At 38.3% G+C, this 22,184-nt stretch overlaps 1 long non-coding RNA gene across 1 annotated transcript, besides 1 other annotated feature; it reads left to right on the top strand.

Moving 5' to 3' along the window:
• The first annotated feature begins 757 nt into the window (after positions 1-757).
• Positions 758-21,676, top strand: LOC107985891 (uncharacterized). The gene is made up of 3 exons (XR_001739520.2): positions 758-1,231; positions 2,717-2,852; positions 21,519-21,676. It is a non-coding gene; the product is annotated as an uncharacterized LOC107985891 (long non-coding RNA).
• Positions 884-1,464: an enhancer, noted in NCBI's record as "OCT4-NANOG hESC enhancer chr2:67690923-67691503 (GRCh37/hg19 assembly coordinates)". NCBI's record gives its function as "activates a minimal SCP1, AML or CMV promoter by ChIP-STARR-seq in primed H9 embryonic stem cells {active_cell/tissue: H9 hESC(primed)}" and the evidence as "EXISTENCE:reporter gene assay evidence [ECO:0000049][PMID:30033119]".
• Positions 21,677-22,184: the final 508 nt, after the last annotated feature.

Below are 22,184 nucleotides of genomic sequence, written 5' to 3'. Positions count from 1 at the left end.
TCTCTTGGTCTAGCTTTTCTTGCACTGAAATGACAAGAAAATGATCCCTGCCCTATTTTCCTCAGGAGAATACAGTGAGACTCAGAAAGGGCTAAAAACAAATAGGCCACTTTACTCAAGTTTTGCCAATGAAATGCCTAGAATACAACCATTTGTAGAAATAAGTTCACAAGTGGTTGAAAAGGCAATGAGCAAAATTCTAGGGGAAGACTCCATTACTTAAGACAAAGACATCACCTTTCCCAAACAGGATGTAGAAACTGCCACTGTCCAAAAGGTAGGCCAAAAAATAAAACCCACCAACAAGCAAACAAACCAACCCATGGTCCAGTCACTAACCATGAAAAGGTTTGTAAGTGCATCAGAGGAGATTAATCCTTAACTGGAGAGAAATAATAATCAAGGTATATGTGTACCACAAAACATTGTAGCTGGGAAAAAGAGACTTTAGGGAGGAGAAACAGGAAGAAGAAAACTAAAGCTTAGTGTTAGTCTCATACTACAACATGTCAGCCCAAGATACTATGGGCTGTTTTACTGAACAGGGCAAAGCTGCTTTAATTTAGCGGTGTTTATTTGGAAAGGTTTGCTATCCCAGTGCTCTTTGCAGTACACCACATATGCTGGTGTGTTTTTTGGCTGTACCTGGAGGCGTGCTGTGGGCTGACGAATGTCCAGGTGTGAAAATTCACGTTAGCCATGTATATGCACTGTGGATTTATTTCTTTGCACTTTTTTTGCCCTCCTAATTGAAATAGTAAAATTGACTATACTCAAAGCTTGAATAGTCCCCCAGACATTAGTGTTATAAATTAATGATTAGAAATATAATTCCTTGTATACGTCTTTCTGCCATCGCATCTTTCAAATGCAAAGTCAGTATGGAATAAGAATCAGAGAAATGTAACCTGACATTGAACTTGAAACCAAACACATTGACAAAACAAAAGAACACAAGCAGAAAAAAAGAAAAGGGAACTTTGAAAATCATCTTCATAAGGCATTCTGAATCTGCAACAATCTATTTTTCCAGATTAACAAATCTTGGTCTCTTCTAGGTGTTTTGAACTAGATTACTGACTGGCCATCTGTGGCAGGCCCACTCCTGGATGTCATGCCCCTGTTAATGAAATCTGGGCGTGCGCTCGTAAACAGACCTGGTGAATGGTAGACGTCAGCCATTGCGTGATGGACAATCATCAATCATCCATTGTCAGTTATTTCTGTCCCAGTGAGTAAGCCTTTATTTAAAGCATTAAGTAAGAATGTTGCCAGACCACAGGAACAAGCCCTGAGCTGTTTGCAGGTGCTGCTATTCACAGCTGCCAATTAAACCCCTGACATTTCCATATTGGCCATGAGGCACAGCATATGCTTTTGACATACCAATTCTTTAAAAAAAAAAAAATCACCAATCTCAGATTATCAATACATGCCTTTTTCTTTTTCCATGGTTACTACATGAAGCTTTTTAAAATTGTTTATTTTACAAATAGAGGAAGGAGAATCAGAAAAAGTTCTAGTGAACTGAATTATTAAGATGTGCACATAATATTCTTTCTTGTGGGAAAGTGGCTGGCATTTCTGATGTGAAAAGTCTTCCCTGATGCCTAAATCTACATAGCAAAGTCTCCTATCAGGACTTCAACATTAAAAAATATTTTTCTTGCCTTTTTACTTATATTTTTTTCTTTTTGATTCTCAAATAGTAATACTATTTTAATGTAATCCAGTACATTAAAACTAGATATTGCAATTTTGATTATGATTCTGTGTCTTTCATTGAGATGCAAAATGATTATAGTTTGCAAGTGTGCCTTGTATTTAAATAATTTCATGAAATTTGCAGAGACTTTTTATTTAGTCTCAAATGTAAGTACATGAAAGGGTGTGTTCCTAGGCAAAGGGTGTGTTCCTAGGCAAAGGGTGTGTTCCTAGGTAAAGGGTGTGTTCCTGTGTGTTACATCATGGCTTTACATTCACATATTTCCAGGTTGGAAGATAAAAGCATCCAACCACTCTCAGAGGATCATAGGCGTAGTGGATGTATTCACCTATAAGTACTATAAATAGGCAGGGGCAGGGGAGAAGAGCCTACATGCACCTTTCAGGAATATTTCACTGTTTTTTATTGATTTTCACTTTTTCTAGATATGGGTAGCTCTTGATAAGAAATGAATTGTGGTGACAATCATGAAAATTTTAACTAAATCATTCTTTCTGGTTAGTCTTTAGAAAATAAAGGCATGTTCTATGTGGTTTCCTATTGTTTTGCCAACAATAGCATCAAAATCATCTGTGATTAAGTATGAGTCTCTATTTTCAAGGTTGAGCAACAGACCTTGATATGGAACTACCACCCTCTTCTTTCCCCATCCTCTGTCCATAGAGCTGAGCTGAACAGAGTTACTTCCACATTTTCTTGAAATCTCTAAATCCCGCTACTTTCAGGGACATTTGTTGAGGAAAGCAAAGTTGACAAGCTAGGATTTCTTTCAAATAAACTGAGCTGATGACTGTAGCAGGTGAGTTTTTTTTTCCCATAGCGATAATTTTACATTCTTTTCCTGCTTCTGAGAGGAGGAAAACGTTGCCATCTTATTTGACAGATGCTCAGTAGTGTTTCATCTTTAAAAAGAGAGAATATTTGTTATTGCCATCTATGTAATGAAAGAGTACTTAAAAAGAGCAGTCTTTTTTTTTTTTTTTTTTTAAGAGACAGGGTCTCTCTATGTTGCCCAGGCTGGAGTGCAGTGACTATTCACAGGTGCAATCAGAGCTCATCATAGTCTCCAAACTCCTGCTCTCAAGTGATCTTCCTGCCTCAGCTTACGTAGTAGTGGAGACAGCAGGTATGTGTCTGGCTAAAAGAGCTATCTTTTAATAAAAATATTTTTCCTCTGTAAATTAATTTTGTCGTAAGAGCTGCCTCACCAACCTAATGTATGGTGAAGACCTGAACAAGAGTGAAAATTTTAGCATTATATGAAGATGCAATGGCTTGCAATGGCCTTGAGCCCTTGGGCTACATGAACACTTACCACTGAACAGAGCTGAGGATGCTGAGCTGTGGCATTGGCTTTAGGCTGTTCATTTGTGATAATGTCTTCCCACAGGCTTTGTGATACAAAATGAAAGGAAAGGTCTGGATTTGCCGCCCTGATGCTCTGTGCCTAACTAGCACCCTATGCGCCGCTTATCTCCACTTGATTCCAGGTCTTCCAAGTGCCCCTGGTTGTAGTCATAATGATAGTAATAGTGATGAGGACAATGATCACAATAATAATAATGGAAGCCATCATTATGGCAGGCAGCTTTGGACTGTAGTTGAGAGTGCAGATTCCGTAGCGAGCCAGACTGGTTTTAATCTTGCCTCTGCCAATTACAAGCCATGAGACCCTGGTCAAGTTACTTAATCCATTTGTTCTTCAGTTGCTTTCTCTGTGAAATGGAGGGAGTAATAGCAACTACCTCATTGGTACATCGAATGCTTAGAGCAGTACCTGGAACATCTGGGACATACTTCAGGAAGTGCTAGAGGAGTGTTAGATAAAATAAATGAGTATTCCTAGTATATCTGCACAGGAGATTTCATCTTAATTCTAATGCATTTTTGCTATACACACACACACACACACACACACACACACACACACACACACACATATATATATATATATATATATATATATATATAGAGAGAGAGAGAGAGAGAGAGAGAGAGAGAGTTATTCCAGTTTTTCAGGTGGGGGAATTGAGGCTGTATGAGGTTAAGTAATATCTCCCAAGGCTGCCAGCTAGTGATTTGCCAAATGGTGATTTTAACCTGGGTTGGTGTAATTTCAAAACCCATGCTCTTTCCATCTCCAGGCTTCCTATCCTATGCAGTCATTTCACAACCGTATACCAATGATCAAAAGAAAAGTGGCAAGGGATTGAAGGAAATAGAAACAGAATAAGAAACCTCAGAGAAAGCAAGAATTTCACAGTGTAAGGGCATCAGGAAATCCTCTAAGGACAGAGGTAGATAAACACTTTCCCAAGGTCAGAAGCCCAGCAGTCACCACACTTATAGATCCTGAGTTCACTCATTCATTCATTTGACAGATATGTATGTTCCTTATATTTCCACAAAAGGGTTGGCAACCTCATGTGTAGCCATTTAATAAGAGCATGTGTTCTATGTAACTTTGTCAAAGAAAGAGGCCCAGGAAAGCCACAGGAAAAGATACTGATGGGAAGATGCCAGGAGTTTCCTGGTGATTGAATCTGATTTGGTAAGTTCTGGGGCTGCTGCTTCTCCCCTGCTTGGATCTCTGAAGGTAGAGAAGGCAAGGAATGGGACAAGGGAAGGGCTGGCTGTCCCAAGACTGGGTGTCATCAGCACATACAAGTTGTCTTTATCGAGGCTAACTGGTATTGGTTTTGGCAGTATTGACGTGGTGATGTTATGTTTCCAATGTTTCCAAGTTCGAAAGACATAGGTCTTTTATTTCCTTTCTGCCTACTAAGATTATTTAGGCTCCACACATGCAAAGCAGAGTATTATGCAATAAATTAATCATATCAGAGCAAAGTAGCCACTGAAAAATTGCCAAACACCATAAACATTGGTCAAAATGGAGTCCAACCATTTGCACGGAGAATAATTGGACCTGTGGATTCACTTGAGGTAACTAAGCAACTTTTCGTTATGAATTATAAAGCTTTTCAAGCATAAAATGATATCTGAGAGGAGTGCATTACCTAAAAGGTTTCGATAAGCAATGAAGGGAGCTTTAAAATATGCAGCAGGGATCAATCATTCAGCTGTATGGCATTACTTATACTTTGCAGCATCACCTACATTCCTTGATAAACAATTTCCCATAACCTCTGAGCATTCTCATTATTTTCATCAGCACCCCAACATAAGAAGTGACAAAAATGTCAGATGATGTTTTATTTACTAATATATAACAAATTCTAGTGGAAGTAGACACTCTATGACAAAATGGAGGTAAATGAAGCACATTTCCCAGCATCAAAAATGATTCACACTGTTCAAAAAAAGATATAAAGCCTGCTGTTCATGATGAATTTTAATTGGAAATGTTACTCATCATGAACATGAATTTCTTTTGTTTGGAAGATAACATGTCCTGCTGCTATAACTGAAGAGCAGTTGGCTTTCCCTGAAAAAATGAGAAGTTGAAACAGACTTTTTGACATCCAAAAAGAAAGTAGAAATACCTTCTAGTTATCTTGGTGTCATCCGGCAAAGCAAGTATTCTGATGTTTCTTACGGTCATCATTTTGTGTAAGACATTTTCATCAGTTACATGAGAAATCAAGCCCAGCATTCTGACTCAGATATGAGGCAGTTCTGCCTTCCTGTACCTGTTAATGAAAAAACAGAACAAAATGAAATGAGAGCATCAATTCCAAAAATAACCTGATGGTAGGGAAGCATCCCTCACTTGGAATTAGCTTTGGACTTCTACCCAAGATGCTGCAGGATAGGATATAAAGAAGCAGAGAAGAAAGGATCACTGACAATTGTACAGTCTCTTTTCTTTATTAAAAAGAGGGCCTGGAATGTGATCCATCAATGTTGACGGATGCTAGGTAGAGGAGAAAGGGAACTATAAAAGGCCAGAGAAAGTGGATTTGAAACTGGTGAGATACATGAAGACCACAAAGGTTAAAAAACAAAGTTGGGCCAGGTGCAGTGGCTCACGCATGTAATCCCAGCACTTTGGGAAGCCAAGGTGGGTGGATCATTTGAGGTCAGGAGTTCAAGATCAGCCTGGCCAATATGGTGAAACCCTGTCTCCATTAAAAAATACAAAAAAAATTAGCCAGGTGTGGTGGCACACACTTGTAGTCCCAGCTACTCAAGAGGCTGAGGCACAAGAATTGCTTGAAACCCGGGAGGCGACGCTACAGTGAGCCAAGATCGCACCATTGCACTCCAGCCTGGGCAATACACTCCAGCCTGGGTGACAGATTGAGACTCTGCCTCAAAAATAATAATAATAATAATAATAACAACAGCGAAAAAAAACCCCACCAACAACAAAGTTGGACATATGAAAACATAGTTTCATGACCCCATGTCGTTTGCATAAATAAAATCACTTACCAACCTTAATGTGATTCGGGAAATGATTTGGTTTAGCAAGGTTTAAACTAGTGCAATGGACATCCATCCCATGCTTGGGGAGGTGAACTACTTCTCTGGACTAAGAGGAACAGGGTAGCTGCAGCCTGCCACTTTGGAACTCAATATCAAAACATCAATTTGCATGATGGAATCTTGGCCAGCTTGCTTTGTGGGGGCGGTCCAAAGCAGTGGGTGCTCTACAGATACACAAATTGATTACTTCAATTACCAAGATCAATTTTCCAGAATAGAGTGAAGTCTATGGAAATGTTTCTCAAAAGGTCATTTAAAATGAGCTTAAATGACCCACTAGGCCCTGCATTGATAATAGCACCTAACCATACATGTAACTCTCCCTCTCCTGTATCTTTGCCTACAGGAGATCTGAGGCTCAAAGCACCCAACTGGAACCTGGTAAAACAACCACCAAATTGCATTGTTCCCTCTGCTCTGATGAATCTCCCCATAAGCTCACATGATTCAGTTCTTAGTCCAAACTAGGGTTTGCTCCTATAAGTAAAAGGTCATATATTTTATGTTTCTAAAAAATTAAATAGGTGTTATTTTAATTGTGGCTCTCCTTTTCCAACTGGCCTGCCATGTTTGTTTTTTTTTTTTTTGCAAATGTTGTGTGTCGTGTAAACACACAGACCATTCTCCATTCAAAGATGCTATACATTTATATACAACACAGTTATCCACGTGTATAATGTCTCTTGCACAAACACACAAAAATATAAGAGGGCTCCTTGCCCTCTTAAAATCCGTTCAGATGGCCAGGTGCGGTGGCTCACGCTTGTAATCCCAGCACTTTGGGAGGCCGAGGTGGGCCGATCACCTGAGGTCAGGAGTTCGAGACCAGCCTGGCCAACATGGCAAAACCCCGTCTCTACTAAAAACACAAAAATTTGCCGGGTGTGATGGTGGGTGCCTGTAATCCCAGCTACTCGGGAGGCTGAGGTGGGAGAATCGCTTGGACCTGGGAGGCAGAGGTTGCAGTGAGCCAAGATCATGCCATTGCACTCCAGCCTTGGTGACAGAGTGAGACTCCATCTCAAAAAAAAAAAAAAAAAAAATCCTTTCAGTTTGCATAGATGATTTTCTTTACATGTTTTCAACCTACCTAATGGCAAACCTCACCTCATTCTACGCTAGTCTAATTAATTTGACAGGACTGGAAACTTGTTCTTCCTGTTCGCACTTCTTATTCATCTCTTCAGAATGCCCTGTAGAGAGGATGAAGTACAATAAAGCAGTCTTTACCAAATGCCTCAATGCTAAATGCCCTTTTAGGCTGACACGGCACAATACCGGCAATGAGGAGATCTGACTTTAGGGCAGCCTAAGAAAAATGACATTTTCTAGAATATCATCTATTGAAACTGGTCTTGAAGAAGAAAACAATGTCCATTTCCCCTGGAGTTTTGCTGTGGGCTCTGGGGACTCCAATTTATCCCTACTGTATCTGAAATCTTTGCTAAAGAAATGACAGAGGTATCATATTTTGCAAAATAAGTCCTCAATCCTCAATGGCAAATGTGGAGATAATTTTAGGATTTTTAAGCACTGAAAGTGTAACCAGAAACATATCAGATATTTTGTGAAGGGGTGGATTGAAATGCAGAATTGACAAATACAAAGGGAGAGAGCTTTTCTTTTTTTGGTTAACTTTGAAAATTTCCTCAAGAGAGCAAACTTTTGATAGGGGGCAAAGATTCTTACAAGGTTGGTACAGGTGGGTAATTAATAAGAGTGAATTTATCTGCATACATTATTTAAATACCTAAAGCATTTCTCTGCTTTAATGATAAATTACAATCGGTAAAATCTGTTGGCTGCCTTCAAGCTAACTAATGGATCACTAATCAGCAACAGTCGAATCATCCTAGCTGAAGTGGAATAAATATCTCTAAGGATGCTGCAGCTCATCTTTACAGTCTAAACCTGTAAAGATGCTTGCATGTATTTCTGTGTTCTTTTACTACATGTGTGTATATGGATGCACACACTCATGTGTGCACTTGCATGCATTAAAAACCTATTCTTTGATACCTTCTTTTCTGCCCTTGACGGCTCTATCCCCCTTGGTCTGTTGTATAAGAAAGATCATTCCTGGAACTAATTAATCCTTAAAGAGATCAGCTGATACATCTCATTGTTAGCAATACATTTTTAATTGTTCATTTTACTCAAGCACCATTTGAACACAAGTCAATTTGCAATTTCATTAGAGAACCAAAAAGGCCTGGGGTCTATTCCTGTTTTTGTTTGTTTTTTTTTTAAAGAAAAGGATAAAAAACAGGCAAAATTTCATGAAGGATGTTAATCCTCTAATTAATTTTATGTAATCAAGCAAGAATTAATGTGTGCTGCTATTTGAGCCGAAGTCTTTTTGCCAAGAAGTGCATTTTGTCATACCTTCCCCTCCAGAGAAACGTCTTTACAAGCTTTGCAGCCAAATACCCTGGCAACTAATGACTAGCTTTGGAGCAACATTCACAGACCATTTGCTTTGATGACATTTGGAGGCTTTGCTCTTCTCATTCCAATTCTATTGTAAATAGAGTACACATGCCATACAGCCTTTGAAAACTAATCAATACAGTAAGATTTGTCAGGTTGCAGCTGACTAGTATCACATCTTTTAACTCTTTTCTTAGCTGACTTGTACACATTTTTAAGTCAAACCTTATGAAGGGAGTTGGGTAGATCATCCTTTCCATATTTACAGGCTCCCTGCTGTAACATGGATCTTTCTTCTATATTTTAACATCAAAAGCTCACAATCTATGTAAGTTAACCTTCCATAAAACTAAAATTATATGGTCATCATACGTAATCTGATGATTGATTACAGCTGTCACAAAGTCACAAATTGTGACTGTTTACTACAGTTGCACCATGAAAATTATTGCGTACTTTAAAAAAATCCGTTTAGAGAAAATAAACAGCTTCTATTCATAGGTTGCAGAACCGAAGCATACATGTTTTCTTTGTGACTTTTGGCTCCCTTAGAATCAATGTTAAAACCCACTTAGGTCTGATTTTTCATTTCAGTGTCTTTGTGTAATGTGCCTCCACCATACCTCATCTAATTTAATAAGATGCAAGCTAAGGAAGTACTTAAGTTACTTATCAAGGGTTTTAGATGACACATTATTATTGTATTCAAAAGTCAATATTTGCTAATCATGTTAGTACAGGAACTGTTCCAGGCCTACAATTCTTAAATTGCAGAGATATTTAAGATTAATTAAACCTATCTCCCCATCCTCTCTCTCTCCACCTTTATGGAGTAAGTAAATCAATGACATCCTAAACAAGCCCAGAGAGCCAGAGCTTCAAGTCTGAAGTCCATTTACATCTTTAAGCCTCTGTTTGCTTCAGTCCTCAAGAGTTGAGTTTTGCCATTCCTCCACTGCTTGGGGAATATTTGCATGTTATGAGAGCAAAGTTCAAAAATTCACTTGATGTAATTAGAGAAGAGTGACCAGTCCTGGGCATATAGCATGGACTCCACTGCTTTTTTAAGTCAGGAGAATATTGAAGTAACATATGGCCTGATTTCTTTTTTCTTTTTATATGACAACTTCTGGGTAAACGTGTGGCAGGCAAAGTTGAAAAGTCATCTTCCGCTTCTGAAACTGGGCAGGATGAGAACAGGTGACTAGATCCAAACCCTGGCAGGTTATGCTCTTGCGTCATTGTTCCAGTGACATCCTGACCCCTCTTTTATATAAACCATGGAGCAGAGAGAGCCAACTGTTTAAATGCCAAGATTCCCTTCACTTTTGAACAGTACATTCATTGTAAAACAACCATTTCTGATCTAATGTTATATACAGAGCCCAGGACTTGACTGAGATTAAGTGATAAATGAGTTTGACATCTTATTAACATGTATTGACTAGCAGAAAACTGAGAAACATAGAACTTTACTGATGACTTATGGCAGCTGCTAGTTCAGTTCCCTCCGGGGGAAAAAACTAGTGCATTAACCCAATATGGCACCTAGGATATATTTACAAGTAGTTAGTGAAAGCAATAATGCTATGCAAACTGGATATCTGGAACACGAATCAATATAGACCAGCTAATTAAGTTATAAATGCATCGATTTTATTTTGAATATGTCCTCAAATAGAGTCTGCGAGAAGCATACTGAAATGGGGCTTTTAAACTGAGAAAAGCAACAATCAGATTATTCTCTGGCAATCTCCAATCAATCCAGAAGGGTTTGGTAAAATACTCTGATGCATATTCTATATAATCAGAATGACATGTCCTATTAATATTCCAATTACTGTTGAACTATTAGCAATGCCTGAGTCTGGTGTCTTAGAGCCTCATAGTGGTAATCCGGGAAACTCATGTCATCTTTTGTATTCATTCAGTTTAAAATGAAACAATTTTCCCTTTAAAGGATTTTTATTAAACATTATTTTATGCATGGATTTAACATCCTAATTGATTTAGGTGGACTATCAGAATGAGTTGCTAACTTAACTCTTTTTGTTCTTTTCTTCACTGAAAGAGGTCAGCAGCTCTGATCTTATTTATAAATTTAAATGCCAATTTTTAGCATGGTGAGTTATTATTAAAATAATAGTTATTCATGTTCACAAAAGACTCTATTCACATTGTAAAAGCCAGGAATCTAATAATTTAATAAACTAGACTAGAGTAAGAAAGGGCCAGAGTTGTCAACCTCATCTTAGAACATATAAAAATCATAAAATCAGAGAAATGAAAGTGACTTTACAAAAAGCACTGAGATGTTTCCACACCTCTGAATATTTTCTCAACCTAAATTTTGCTCATTTTTACTTTAAAACTCACTATACACAGGGATCTATCCAATATCATAAATAAAATACTGTTCATAAGCAAAATATAAAACTAATTGAAAAAGTCAACATTGGGTATTATATTCATATATATATATATATATATATATATATATATATATGTTTGGCCTTTTAGGAAGTTTGCTTTATCTTAAATTTAGTTAAATAGGGTTGTGTGATGATATGGTCTAGATTCATTTTTCTTATCTTACACTTGCAGTGGCTTCTCCCATGAATATCATGGATATGGTACTCAGTACTGGTGCCTTGGCACAGGATGGGTGAAGTGGAGATAGAAAGAAGTGCCTGGGTGTGGAGGTACAGTCTAAGTGATTAATAATTTGAACTTGGGGTATAGTGAAAAGAGAGAAATCAAGGATGATAACAGAGTTCTGGCTTGAGCAACTGAGTAGATGGCCATTTCTAAAGACGGAAAATACTGGGGCGATAGGGTTGAGTTTTGTGGAGTATTGATGTAATAAAGAGTTCTCTTTGGAAGTAGGTAATTTTGAGATGCCCGAGTGGAAGTGTCAAGATCACATCTAGATCATTAGATGTGATCTAGTTGGTTATTGGAATCTGAGTAAGCTCAGCAGTAAGGTCTTGACTAGTCTTGTCAACTTGAGCATTGTCAGCTTCTAGATGGTATTTTAAACTATGGAAATGGATGAGCTCCCCCAAGGCATGAGTGCAGAAAGAGAAGAGGGACTGGAAAGCACCCAGCTGAGTCACCATTTAAAAAGATTTTTTAAAGATAAGCAGTAAGCATTTGTGTAGAGATCAGAGAGTCTGCTCCAGAACACTGGAGCAAATGATCCAAGATGAGATATAAAAGGCCTTCCTTTCCTCATACCCTAAACTGTGTTAAATTGAGACATTCGTTTGTGAGGGATTGCTTCATTGTTGTTTTTTTTTTTGTTTTCTTGTTTTGTTTTGTTTTTTCTTAGTGAAGCTTTCAATTTGAAAAGCCAAGCGATTGATTTGAAAATGAGTATAATAAAATATTTAAAAGAGGCAGGGGGACCTGCTACTCTCACTGCTGCCTCAGGGCCTTTGCAGTTGCTGTTCCTTCTGTCTGGGATACTCCACCCTCAGAAGACATATGGCTCACTCCTTATGTTCTTCTGGGGTCCGTGCAAATGTCACCCTTTCAATGAGGACTTTACTGACCACCTTATTTAGAATAGGAACCCCATCACTATCTATCCCCCTGTATCTGCTTGATTTTTCTCTATAGAATGTATCACCATGTGATATACACTTACTTGTTTATTTGTGTATTTCGGTCTCCTGTCACTAGAATGTAAGCCCCATGAGGGCAAGGATTTTGTTTTGTTTTTCTGCTGTGACCAGAACATTCAGAAAAATGCTTGACACACAATAGGTGCCTAATAAGTATTTGAAAAAAAAAAATGAACGAGCAAAGGTTCATTATAATGCAAAAAAAATGATTTTTTTTAAAAAAAAGAATAACCGGCCGGGCATGGTGGCTCATGCCTGTAATCTCAGCACTTTGGGAGGCCAAGGTGGGTGGATCACCTGAGGTTGGGGGTTCAAGACTAGCTTGACCAACGTGGAGAAACCCCGTCTCTACTAAAAATACAAAATTAGCTGGGCGTGGTGGTGCATGCCTGTAGTCCTAGCTACTCAGGAGGCTGAGGCAGGAGAATTGCTTGAACCTGGGAGGCAGAGGTTGTGGTAAGCCAAGATCACACCATTGCACTACAGCCTAGGCAACACGAGCAAAACTCCATCTAAAAAAAAAAAAAAAAAAAAAAGAATAACCAATGAAATAGGAGGAAAACCTGGAGGTATTTCAGAAGCCAAAAGAAAAAAAGGGACAAACAGAGTTATCAAATATGTTGAACGCTTCTACAGAGCCCAGTGAGATCACAAAGCAACTTGATCATCAGATTTGCCACCATGAGAGTCATTGCTGACTTGACGAGAGCAATTCCAGAGTAGTGGTGGGAGCAGGAGTCAGAGTGATTAGGGCTGAAGAAAGAATGGGAGGTGAGGGAGTAGAAACTGTCAGTAGGTAATCAACCTGAGAAGTTTTGTTGTGAAGAAAAGTAGACATACAAGGCAGTAGCTGAAGGGGACTATGAGACCAAAGGAGGGTGTGTTATTAATGTCTTCTCTGGATTTTTAAAATGGTGTATTGATTATCATCTGCTGCAGTAATGCTGCTTAAAAAACATCCACAAGGCCAGGCACCGTGGCTCACGCCTGTAATCCCAGAACTTTGGGAGGGCAAGACCAGAGGGTCGCTTGAGCCCAGGAGGTAGAGGCTGCGGTGAGCTATGATTGTGCCACTGCATTCCAGCCTGGCAACAGAGCAAGAATCTGTATTTTTAAAAAGTAATTAATTAATTAAAAATCCACAAAAATCTTAGCAGCATTGGACAACACACATTCATTTATTCTCTGTCTGGAGTCATTAGCTAGGTGGCTCTGCTCCATGTCTGAATTTTGGCTGGTTGTTGGTTGATCTAGGCTGTCCTCAACTGGGATGACTGGGATGACTTAAGCATGGCTCATGTCCCTTATTCTCTAGCAGGCTAGTCTAAGCATGTTCTCATTGTGACGTCTAGAGCATGACACATAAACAGAAACAGGCGAGTCTTCCTGAGCCCTAGGTTCAGAACTGGCACACTGCCACTTTTTCCTCATTCTGTTGACCAAAGCAAGTCAGGAGCCCAAACTAGAGTCGAAGGAAGGTGTGATATGTATTGTGAAATATATATTTGGTTTTCCTCCCATTTCCTGACATACAACCCCTAAAATCTTTAGAATCTCTAGCTGATGTCTTTTTGTATGCTAATGACGGCTGGGAGCCCCTAGGCAGCTTCATGATGAGGACTGTCACTGGAAAGACCAAGGCAGATTAGAGGGTTGGAACTTTCAGCCCACACTGGCAACTCTGGGAAGAGAAGAGAGGTTGAAGGTTAAAGAGGATCACCAATGGCCAATGACGTAATCAATCATACTTATGTAACAAAGCCTCTATAAAAACCTAAAAAAACAGGGTTTGGATGAGCTTCCAGATAGCTCATGTGGAGTTTCCTGGAGGGTGTTGGGCCAGGAGATGGCATGGAAGCTCCAGGCCGCTTCCCCTTACCTCACCCTATGCATCTCTCCGTCTGTATTTTTTGTAATAATCTTTGTAATAAATCAGTAAATGTGTTTCCCTGAGTTCTGTGAGCCATGCTAGCAAATTAATCAAGCCCAAAGAACCCTGTTTTATAGTTTTATAACCAGTTGGTCACAAACACATAGGTAAAATAAAATATCCTGGGGCTTGTAATTGGCATTCAAAGTGTGTCGGGGCAGGGGGCAGTTTTGGGGACTGAGCCCTCAACCCACAAGATCTGATGCTATCTCCAAGTAGATAGTGTCAGAATTGAATTGGAGGACAGCCAGCTGGTGTCCACTGCAGAACTGATCAATTGCTTGCTGGTGGGGAGAAATCCCCACACATCTGGTGTCAGAAGTGTGTTGTGAGAGGATAGTGAAAGAAAGATTTTTTTTTTTTTTTTTTTTTTTTTACTTAGGAGGTATTTCAATTACTATTGCAATGAAATAAACTATCCCAAAACTTAGCGACATGAAATAATCATTTCATTATGCTTATAATTTCTTTGGGTTGGGAACTCAGACAGGACACAGTGGGCTTGGCTTGCCTCTCTGCTCCATGATATCTGCAGCCTGAGCTGGGAAGATGCAAAGGCTATTGGCTGGAATCACCTAGAGGCATTTTTAGTTATGTGTGACGGTGATGTTGGTTGTCAGCTGGAACTATAGCTGAGGCTGTTGCCAGGTCCATGAGTGTGTGGCTCCTCCTTGTGGGTGAGGCTTTCTCACAGCTTGGCGGCCTCAGAATATTTGGACTTCTTTTTGTCTTCGTTGTTTTTTTTTGTTTTTGTTTTTGTTTTTTTGAGATGAAGTCTCGCTCTTTCGCCCATGCTGGAGTGCAGTGGCACGATCTTGGCTCACTGCAACCTCTGCCTCCCAGGTTCAAGTGATTCTCCTGCCTCACCCTCCCTAGTATCTGGGACTACAGGCGCGTTCCACCATGCCCGGCTAATTTTTTGTATTTTTAGTAGAGACAGGGTTTCACCATGTTAGCCAGGATGGTCTCGATCTCCTGACCTTGTGATCTGCTCATCTCGGCCTCCCAAAGTGCTGGGATTACAGGCATGAGCCACCTCGCCCAGGATTGGACTTCTTAAATGGCAGCTCAGGGCTCAAAAGGCTAGTGTCCTGGTGAACAAGGCCAAAGCCATGTCACCTTTTATGACCTGTCACACTGTATCACTTCTTACACATTTTATTGGCTATGAACTGTAGGGGAGGAAAAATTCCTTTTCTCACCCATTGCAAGGGTCATGGCTGACACCCCTATAACAAAAGACAAATAAGAGAAAAGCATACAGATATATTTAATATAAGTTTTATGTTACATAGGCGCCTCCAGAGAGGAAGACCCAAAGACCCAGGGAAAACTGTGGACAGTCACATAGAAATATGATTAGAAGACAAAAGGATGTGATCTAATGGCAATAAACTGGGTGAGGTGGGGTGAGACTTTAGCAAAGCCTTTTTCATTCAGACTCTTCTTGACCTCTCTGTGTGACATTTCTTTTCTCCAGGTGTAGGTCAGGACACCTGCCACAGGAAGGTCTTCAGGGGAGAAAGGGTCAGAGAATGACCTTCCTATGTTTTATGTCCTGCTTTATGGAAGGAAGAGTGAGGGGAATTTCAGTTTCTATGACCTGCTTCAAAAGAGAGGGGACAGGAGCAGGTCAGAGAGATCTTCCTGCTTCCGCAGATTTTGTCAATTTCCTTAAATGGAAACTACTTAGTATGCCATGGTGCCATATTTTGGGGGTAGCATTTCCTGCACACCACCAGAAAGAACCAATTATCAAGGCTGCTCTAGATTCAAGTACAGGGGAATTACACTCCGCTGCTTGACTGGAAAGCAGTAAGTTTAAGAAGAGGTGGGAACAGACACATGTGCAACTGTGAAAGAAGATCCAGCAGTTTACTTTGTGATACTTTTTGGGGGTCTGTAAACCAAATTGTACTTCACTGGATGTTGCTCTTCCCTGTCTAGTCATTCTACCTGAGAGCAGTTGACAAAGACTATAAGGCTCTTTACCCTATCCGCCCCCACCAAAAAAGGTATTTTTCACATGAGAATGGAGGCTTCACAATAAAGATTTCATCCAAGTTGACTCTATGTGGTTGATTTTGAGGTAAAGTCATTGAAGATGCTCATAGGCGTGGCTGCTGTGAGAAAGCTTCTCTATATTTACAAGCTATAATACAGAGAATATACCTGCAAGTCTCAGCAAGCACAGTGTTAAAAGGGGTGATTCTAAATGTCTGAGTCAGTGATATCCAGAGCCTTCTCCTGGGACATTTCTAGGGTGACCTTGACATCCAGAAACTCCAGTGCAGCAGTGCCTCACAGACTATATTTAACTTAAGATTAATTTTGCAAGGCTATGATAGGTCTTTGCAAGTATTTGATCATGCAGTATAACTTTGGCCATAGATATCTGCATAGGACTGATTTCATTTCTTAAATTTACATGTAACTTATGCCATTATTTTAACAAATCACATTTATATAGGTTTGTATGCTAAACCTAAGCAGCTAGAAAATAAACATAACTTTTAAAAGTAGGTTTTTCCTTTTCTTATAGGTTTTCTGAACTAGACTACTGAAGATAAGACCACTGAAAATAAGTTGACATCTGTTATAAATTTATACTATATATTTATGGTATCTAAAACCATGTACAACTATATATAATACAATAAATATATATGATAAATTTTATGTATATATTATATATTATTTATACATTATAGATTAATATATATTTAATATATTTTAAACCAATTCATTTTAAAAAGAAAGTTTCAATTATTTTGTGTTACATATCAGCTGTAAATAAAAAAGAAATACTAAATTGTTGAAAAATATACTATTTTAAGAATATGGATTTTTTATGAGTAAGTTGAGGTATTTATACATATCTCATTAAACATTATTAATATTTATAAAGTATTTTATAGTTAAAAAAGTTTTTTGAATGATCCTCCACATAGGCCTCTGTGGTATGTATGGCAGCATTATTGTTTCATACTTATTTTACAAAGATAAAACTGAGGGTCAGAACATTTAAGTGACTTAGTTTCACAAAGTAAGACAATGGCAGAGCTCAAATTTTAACCTAGTTTCTATTGCACGTCATTAAATGAATTATGTATGGTTTATAAAGGTATGGCTAAGTTTACATGTTTCTATACATGTACGCAATCACATGGATCAATTTTATGTAATCCACAATTACATATCAATTTATGTATATGTAGAAATGAATACACTAATAATTATTTAGATTTTAAGCAAAAATACTCACATACTTTTATAGATACAAACATATACCTATTTTTCATCTACCTATCTCTCAGACTTCCATGTGCTGACTGAAAATGTTTGCATCCAGTAAACATTTTGATTAGATAATTTTTTAAGGATTGTAGATAATGAAGATGGCTTTAGATTTTTGAAAGTTTAACGTAGAACTTTAACATTCAAACCTGGCATTCTACTCACTCTCTTTTTGGAGCTAATGGAATTCAGCAGTTAACATTTTATGAAAATGTATGAGGAAGTGCCAAGACAAAGAAAGTTGTGTTTATACATAATCCACCCTTGACTTCCACAAAGCTTTGATATAATGGGCAACATGTAAGACTCCTCCATAGACTCAGGGGCAAAGAAGTTAAGACTAAAGCCAAATGGCCAGGCATAAAAAAGGTAGTGTGTGTGTCTAAGTGGAAGGGAGATGGGAGATGTTCTCAAAAGCAGAGAGGGTCTCCAGGAATAGTTTACTTTTTAATAATAATACCATAATGATCCAATGGGAGGAAATAGCAAAGAGGAAGGAGAGTCAATGATACTAAACTACAAAAGCTCAGGCCTAAACTCATGAAATGCAAATGTACTTTTTTCCCCCAAAGCACCTGAGGAATAAAGTCAAAAAAAGAGTTAAGATCATGCGTTAGTGGCTGGAACACATGAGACAGTTTTATGTATCTTTGACTTACCACAGCTCTAGGCTTCTAAGCCATTCTAAGACACTCTTTTTGAAGGGAAACACTACATTAAATGTGCACGTTGACTCTAGAACATATTCTGGTTGCAGAAATGTAAAAATATGTGTGTTGGGGGTGGGGGTAGTGCATCTTAAAATTGAGGAAATAAGGTAAATATTTTCCTCGAACCATTTAGAATAAGAGAGAAGTATTTGGTGAATAGCCTCAAATGATAACAAGGCTTAACAGAGAGCAGAACACTCAGTGAGGTACAATTAAACAAGCAGTTAAATAATCTAACATACAAGTGCTTAAACAAACAATCACAGACTGTCCTGTCACTGCTCAGTGTGCAGAGCATGAGTCAGAAGAAATTATTTCAGCGCCATTGAAAGGAAAAGCCATGTTGTGCTCAATTCTGGTTGACTTACTGCAAATAAGGATATTAGAGAAAATGAGACGTTTATGGCAGAAGGTAGATAAAGGTATTCAGTGACTCAAGGAAATTAATTATAGAGGAAAAATTAAAAAAACTAGGTGTGCCTGTGATGACCTCATTGAGGTAAGCTAGGATGACAGCTGTTGCAAGGGTGGATACCCTGAAGGGATCTGCATTGATTACAGCTCTAAAGGAAAGCATACTAGTCCTCAAGAGAGGCAGGCATGAGCAAAATTTAATTGATAGCTCTCATCCATCCCTTGATATTAGTTAATATAGGAAAGAAACAGTTCTGATAAGTGATTAAGATGAATGCAAACAATCTAAATATGGACCTGATTAAGAATTCAGACAGAAAAATAAACTATTATGGAGGCACATCTTTTAACATTTACTTCATCTGGACTTTTGCTGACCCTGAAAAAATTCTTTACTTAAGGAGAGGGGAAAAAATGTACCCTCTTATTGTCTAGAACTGGTGTCTGAATTCAGGCTCTAAGTTGACTTTATATCCAACAAAGTTTTAGTATCAGGCAAGTTTTTTTTTCTTTGTTTATTCCTGGGATTAAAATAGTACACAAACTGACAAAAGTAGTTCAGACACCACATGTCAGCTGTGACACACCACGCTGTGATTCTCATACTCATCAACCCCTAAATAACTTTGAGACTAGAACTGTGTGACGTCCCTCAGGTGTCTGCTCCCTCTCTCATTTTAGTTATTTGCTTCTAGAGCACAGTGATTTCAGCTTTCAGTGGAAGAAAACAGAAGGGAAAAAAAAAGTGCCCCAACTTTATAAAAACCCAGAATAAACATGAACAATAGGTAAGGTAAACACTCATCTGACTTAAGAGGTTGATCAAGATGGCTCTGCGGAATATTTTTATGATGGTTTGCCAACTGAGATGGTTTGCCAAACCTTGGCATTCAAGAGGCAGATTTAGGCGGTATTAAATAAAAGTATCGGGACAGCCCAGAATTGACCCAGAAAATAACTCAGTGAAACACAAATGCTCTTAAAACCTCACCATCCTGTGATTGAGAGTAAGGTCACATTTAACAGTAATGGCTGATATTCCTGGAGTAAAGAAGGATTTTCTTAAAACAACATTACATAATCTAGTTCCTAAAAAGTTTAAACCTTTATATAACTAAAGGCAATATTAACAGAGTTGAAGTGAGTGAAAAATGAAAAAATACTAAAATATAGTTTAAACCTAAACAAAAAGGTTATTATCTTAATATAAAAGGCTACTATCTTCATCTATAGAAGTTCTTGCAAAAAAAGAAAAGATTGATAATTGCAGGAATAAATGGACTACTGATAAAAATAAAACAGCTGTTTAATTAGCAATACAAAAGAAAACATTGAAGTAATATGCCCTACCTCTTATGAAAATAAATTGTTAGTACTCTGAACTTGGCAAGATGCAGAGGGAATGAGAAACTCTCTTAGATGAGAGATGAGAAATGAGGTTTTAAATTGGAAACTTTCTGGTGGGTGATTTGGTAAGGTAAATAAAAAAATTTTAATGTGTATGTTTTGCTGAGCAATTCCACTCCAGGGAATATATTCCAATGAAGGAGTTGGATAAATACACAAAGATTATGTGTACATATGTAATAATTTTACAATAATAAAATAATACAGGAAGGTTGAAAATAACTGTAATGTTTATTAGTAAAGTTTCATAAATAAAGCCTGGTAGTTCCATAAAATGAAAAACTGTAAAGACATCAAAAGGATAAAGTGATTATTATGTAGAGTTTTAAAAATATAAGTGTGGTTCAACACTAAGAAATTGAGTAGTATAATTTCCTATGTTAACATTATAAAAGAGTATATGAGCATACATATAAATATTTGTGATAGACCCAACAATGGCCCTCCAAAGGAAATCCAGGAAATGTGAACATGGAGGCAGAGATTTAAATGATGCAGCCAAAAACCAAGGAATGCCAGCAGCCACCAGAAGCTAGAAGAGGCCAGGAACAGACCTTCCCCTGGGCACTCCAGAGGAATGCAGCCCTGTCCACACCTTGATGTCAACACAGTGGAACCACTTCTGGACTTCTGGCCTCCAGGACTGTGAGATAATAAATTTCTATTGCTTTAAGCCACCAAGTTTCTGGTAATTTGTGAAAAGCACAGGAAACAAATACAGATTTTGGTAATGAAAATGTGATGCTGCTGTAATACATAAAAATGTGGAAGTGGCTTTGGAATTTGATAATGGGCAGAATCTGGAAGAATTTTGAGGGGCATGACAGATAAAGCCTAGATTGTTGTAAACAGGCTGTTGGTAGAAAAATGGTTGCTGAGGATGCTGCTGGTGAGGACTAATAAGGAAGTGAGGAGCGTGATAGAGAAAGCCTGTATTATCCTAGAGAATACATATATTGTCATAAAGAGGATGTTAATAGAAAGATGAATGTTAAAGCTGATGCTAGTGCAGACTTAGAAGGAAATGAGACATATGATTTTGTAAACTCCGGGAAAGGGGATCCTTACTATGTAGTGGCAGAAAGTCTAGCTGAATTGTGTTCTACAGTTTTGTATGGAAAGCAGAACTTAGAAGCAACATCCTTTGATATTTAGCTGAGGATATTTCCAAGAAGAATATTGATGGTGAAGCCAGGTTTCTTCTTGCTTCTTGTAGTAAAATGTGAGAAGAGATAAACTGACAGGAAAACTGTTAAATAAAGAGGGACTAGGGCTTGATGATATTGGAAATTCTCAACCTATCAGACTGCAAAGGACAGAAAAAGTAGTATATTCACTGTAAGGAAGGTGTGCTCTGGAGAGAAGGCCCAGGGTGTGGCTGGACAACATTTTGCTGAAGAGATTACGTGAGTGGCTCATGATTCCTCTCAACTATCTGCAGAAGTGAAGAATGGAGATGGGGTGACCCAGGAAAGATCTGTGGGAGACCTTCTTGTCTAATTGTGTGAATTTTATGATATATACAGGAGACCCACAGGTTTTTGAGAATGTTATACCAACATTACCAGTTATATAAACACTGCCAGCTTGAATCAAAAGGAATAAAGGATGAATGGAGGAAGATTGTTTTACTCCCCAAATTCTACAAGCAAGAAACTGGCTGATGAAACTACTCAGCTGCAAATGTGTGTTACCCTTCAAGGAAAAGAAGGTATGGCCCTTAGGGTAGAAACTTGGGCCCAGAGGGTGGAGCCATGGAAATGTCTATTGTATAAAATGTGTAGGTATTTTTACATAAATACTATGTTATATAAATAGTTCATAAATACTATTTTACATAAAACAATATTTATGTAAAAATATCTGCTTTATTAAAAATTTTATCTCATTTTCTTTTATTTAATTCGACACCGTGATTTAAAAATTCAAATGTATTAATATGAACGCATCTAAGCTGATGTTCCCACCTCCCAATACTTCTAGTAGATATTCTTGTATATGTCCCTTGTGCTGGTCAGAGAGTAGCACTCTATGGCAGCAAATGGTAGGATTGTAATTTCTGACGCCCTATTGTCAGGTGGACCATGTGCCTGGTTTGGGCCAATGAATTGTATAAAGAGTAACATATATCATTTCTGGGCTAGGGCATTTAGTTGCCCATGGAGGACCCCCACAAGTACATGCTTTTCACC

This window comes from Homo sapiens, chromosome 2, assembly GCF_000001405.40.
Source record: "Homo sapiens chromosome 2, GRCh38.p14 Primary Assembly".
Taxonomy (NCBI): Eukaryota; Metazoa; Chordata; class Mammalia; order Primates; family Hominidae; genus Homo; species Homo sapiens.
Note: the sequence above shows the minus strand (reverse complement) of the source record. Positions and strands in the feature narration are given on the sequence as shown.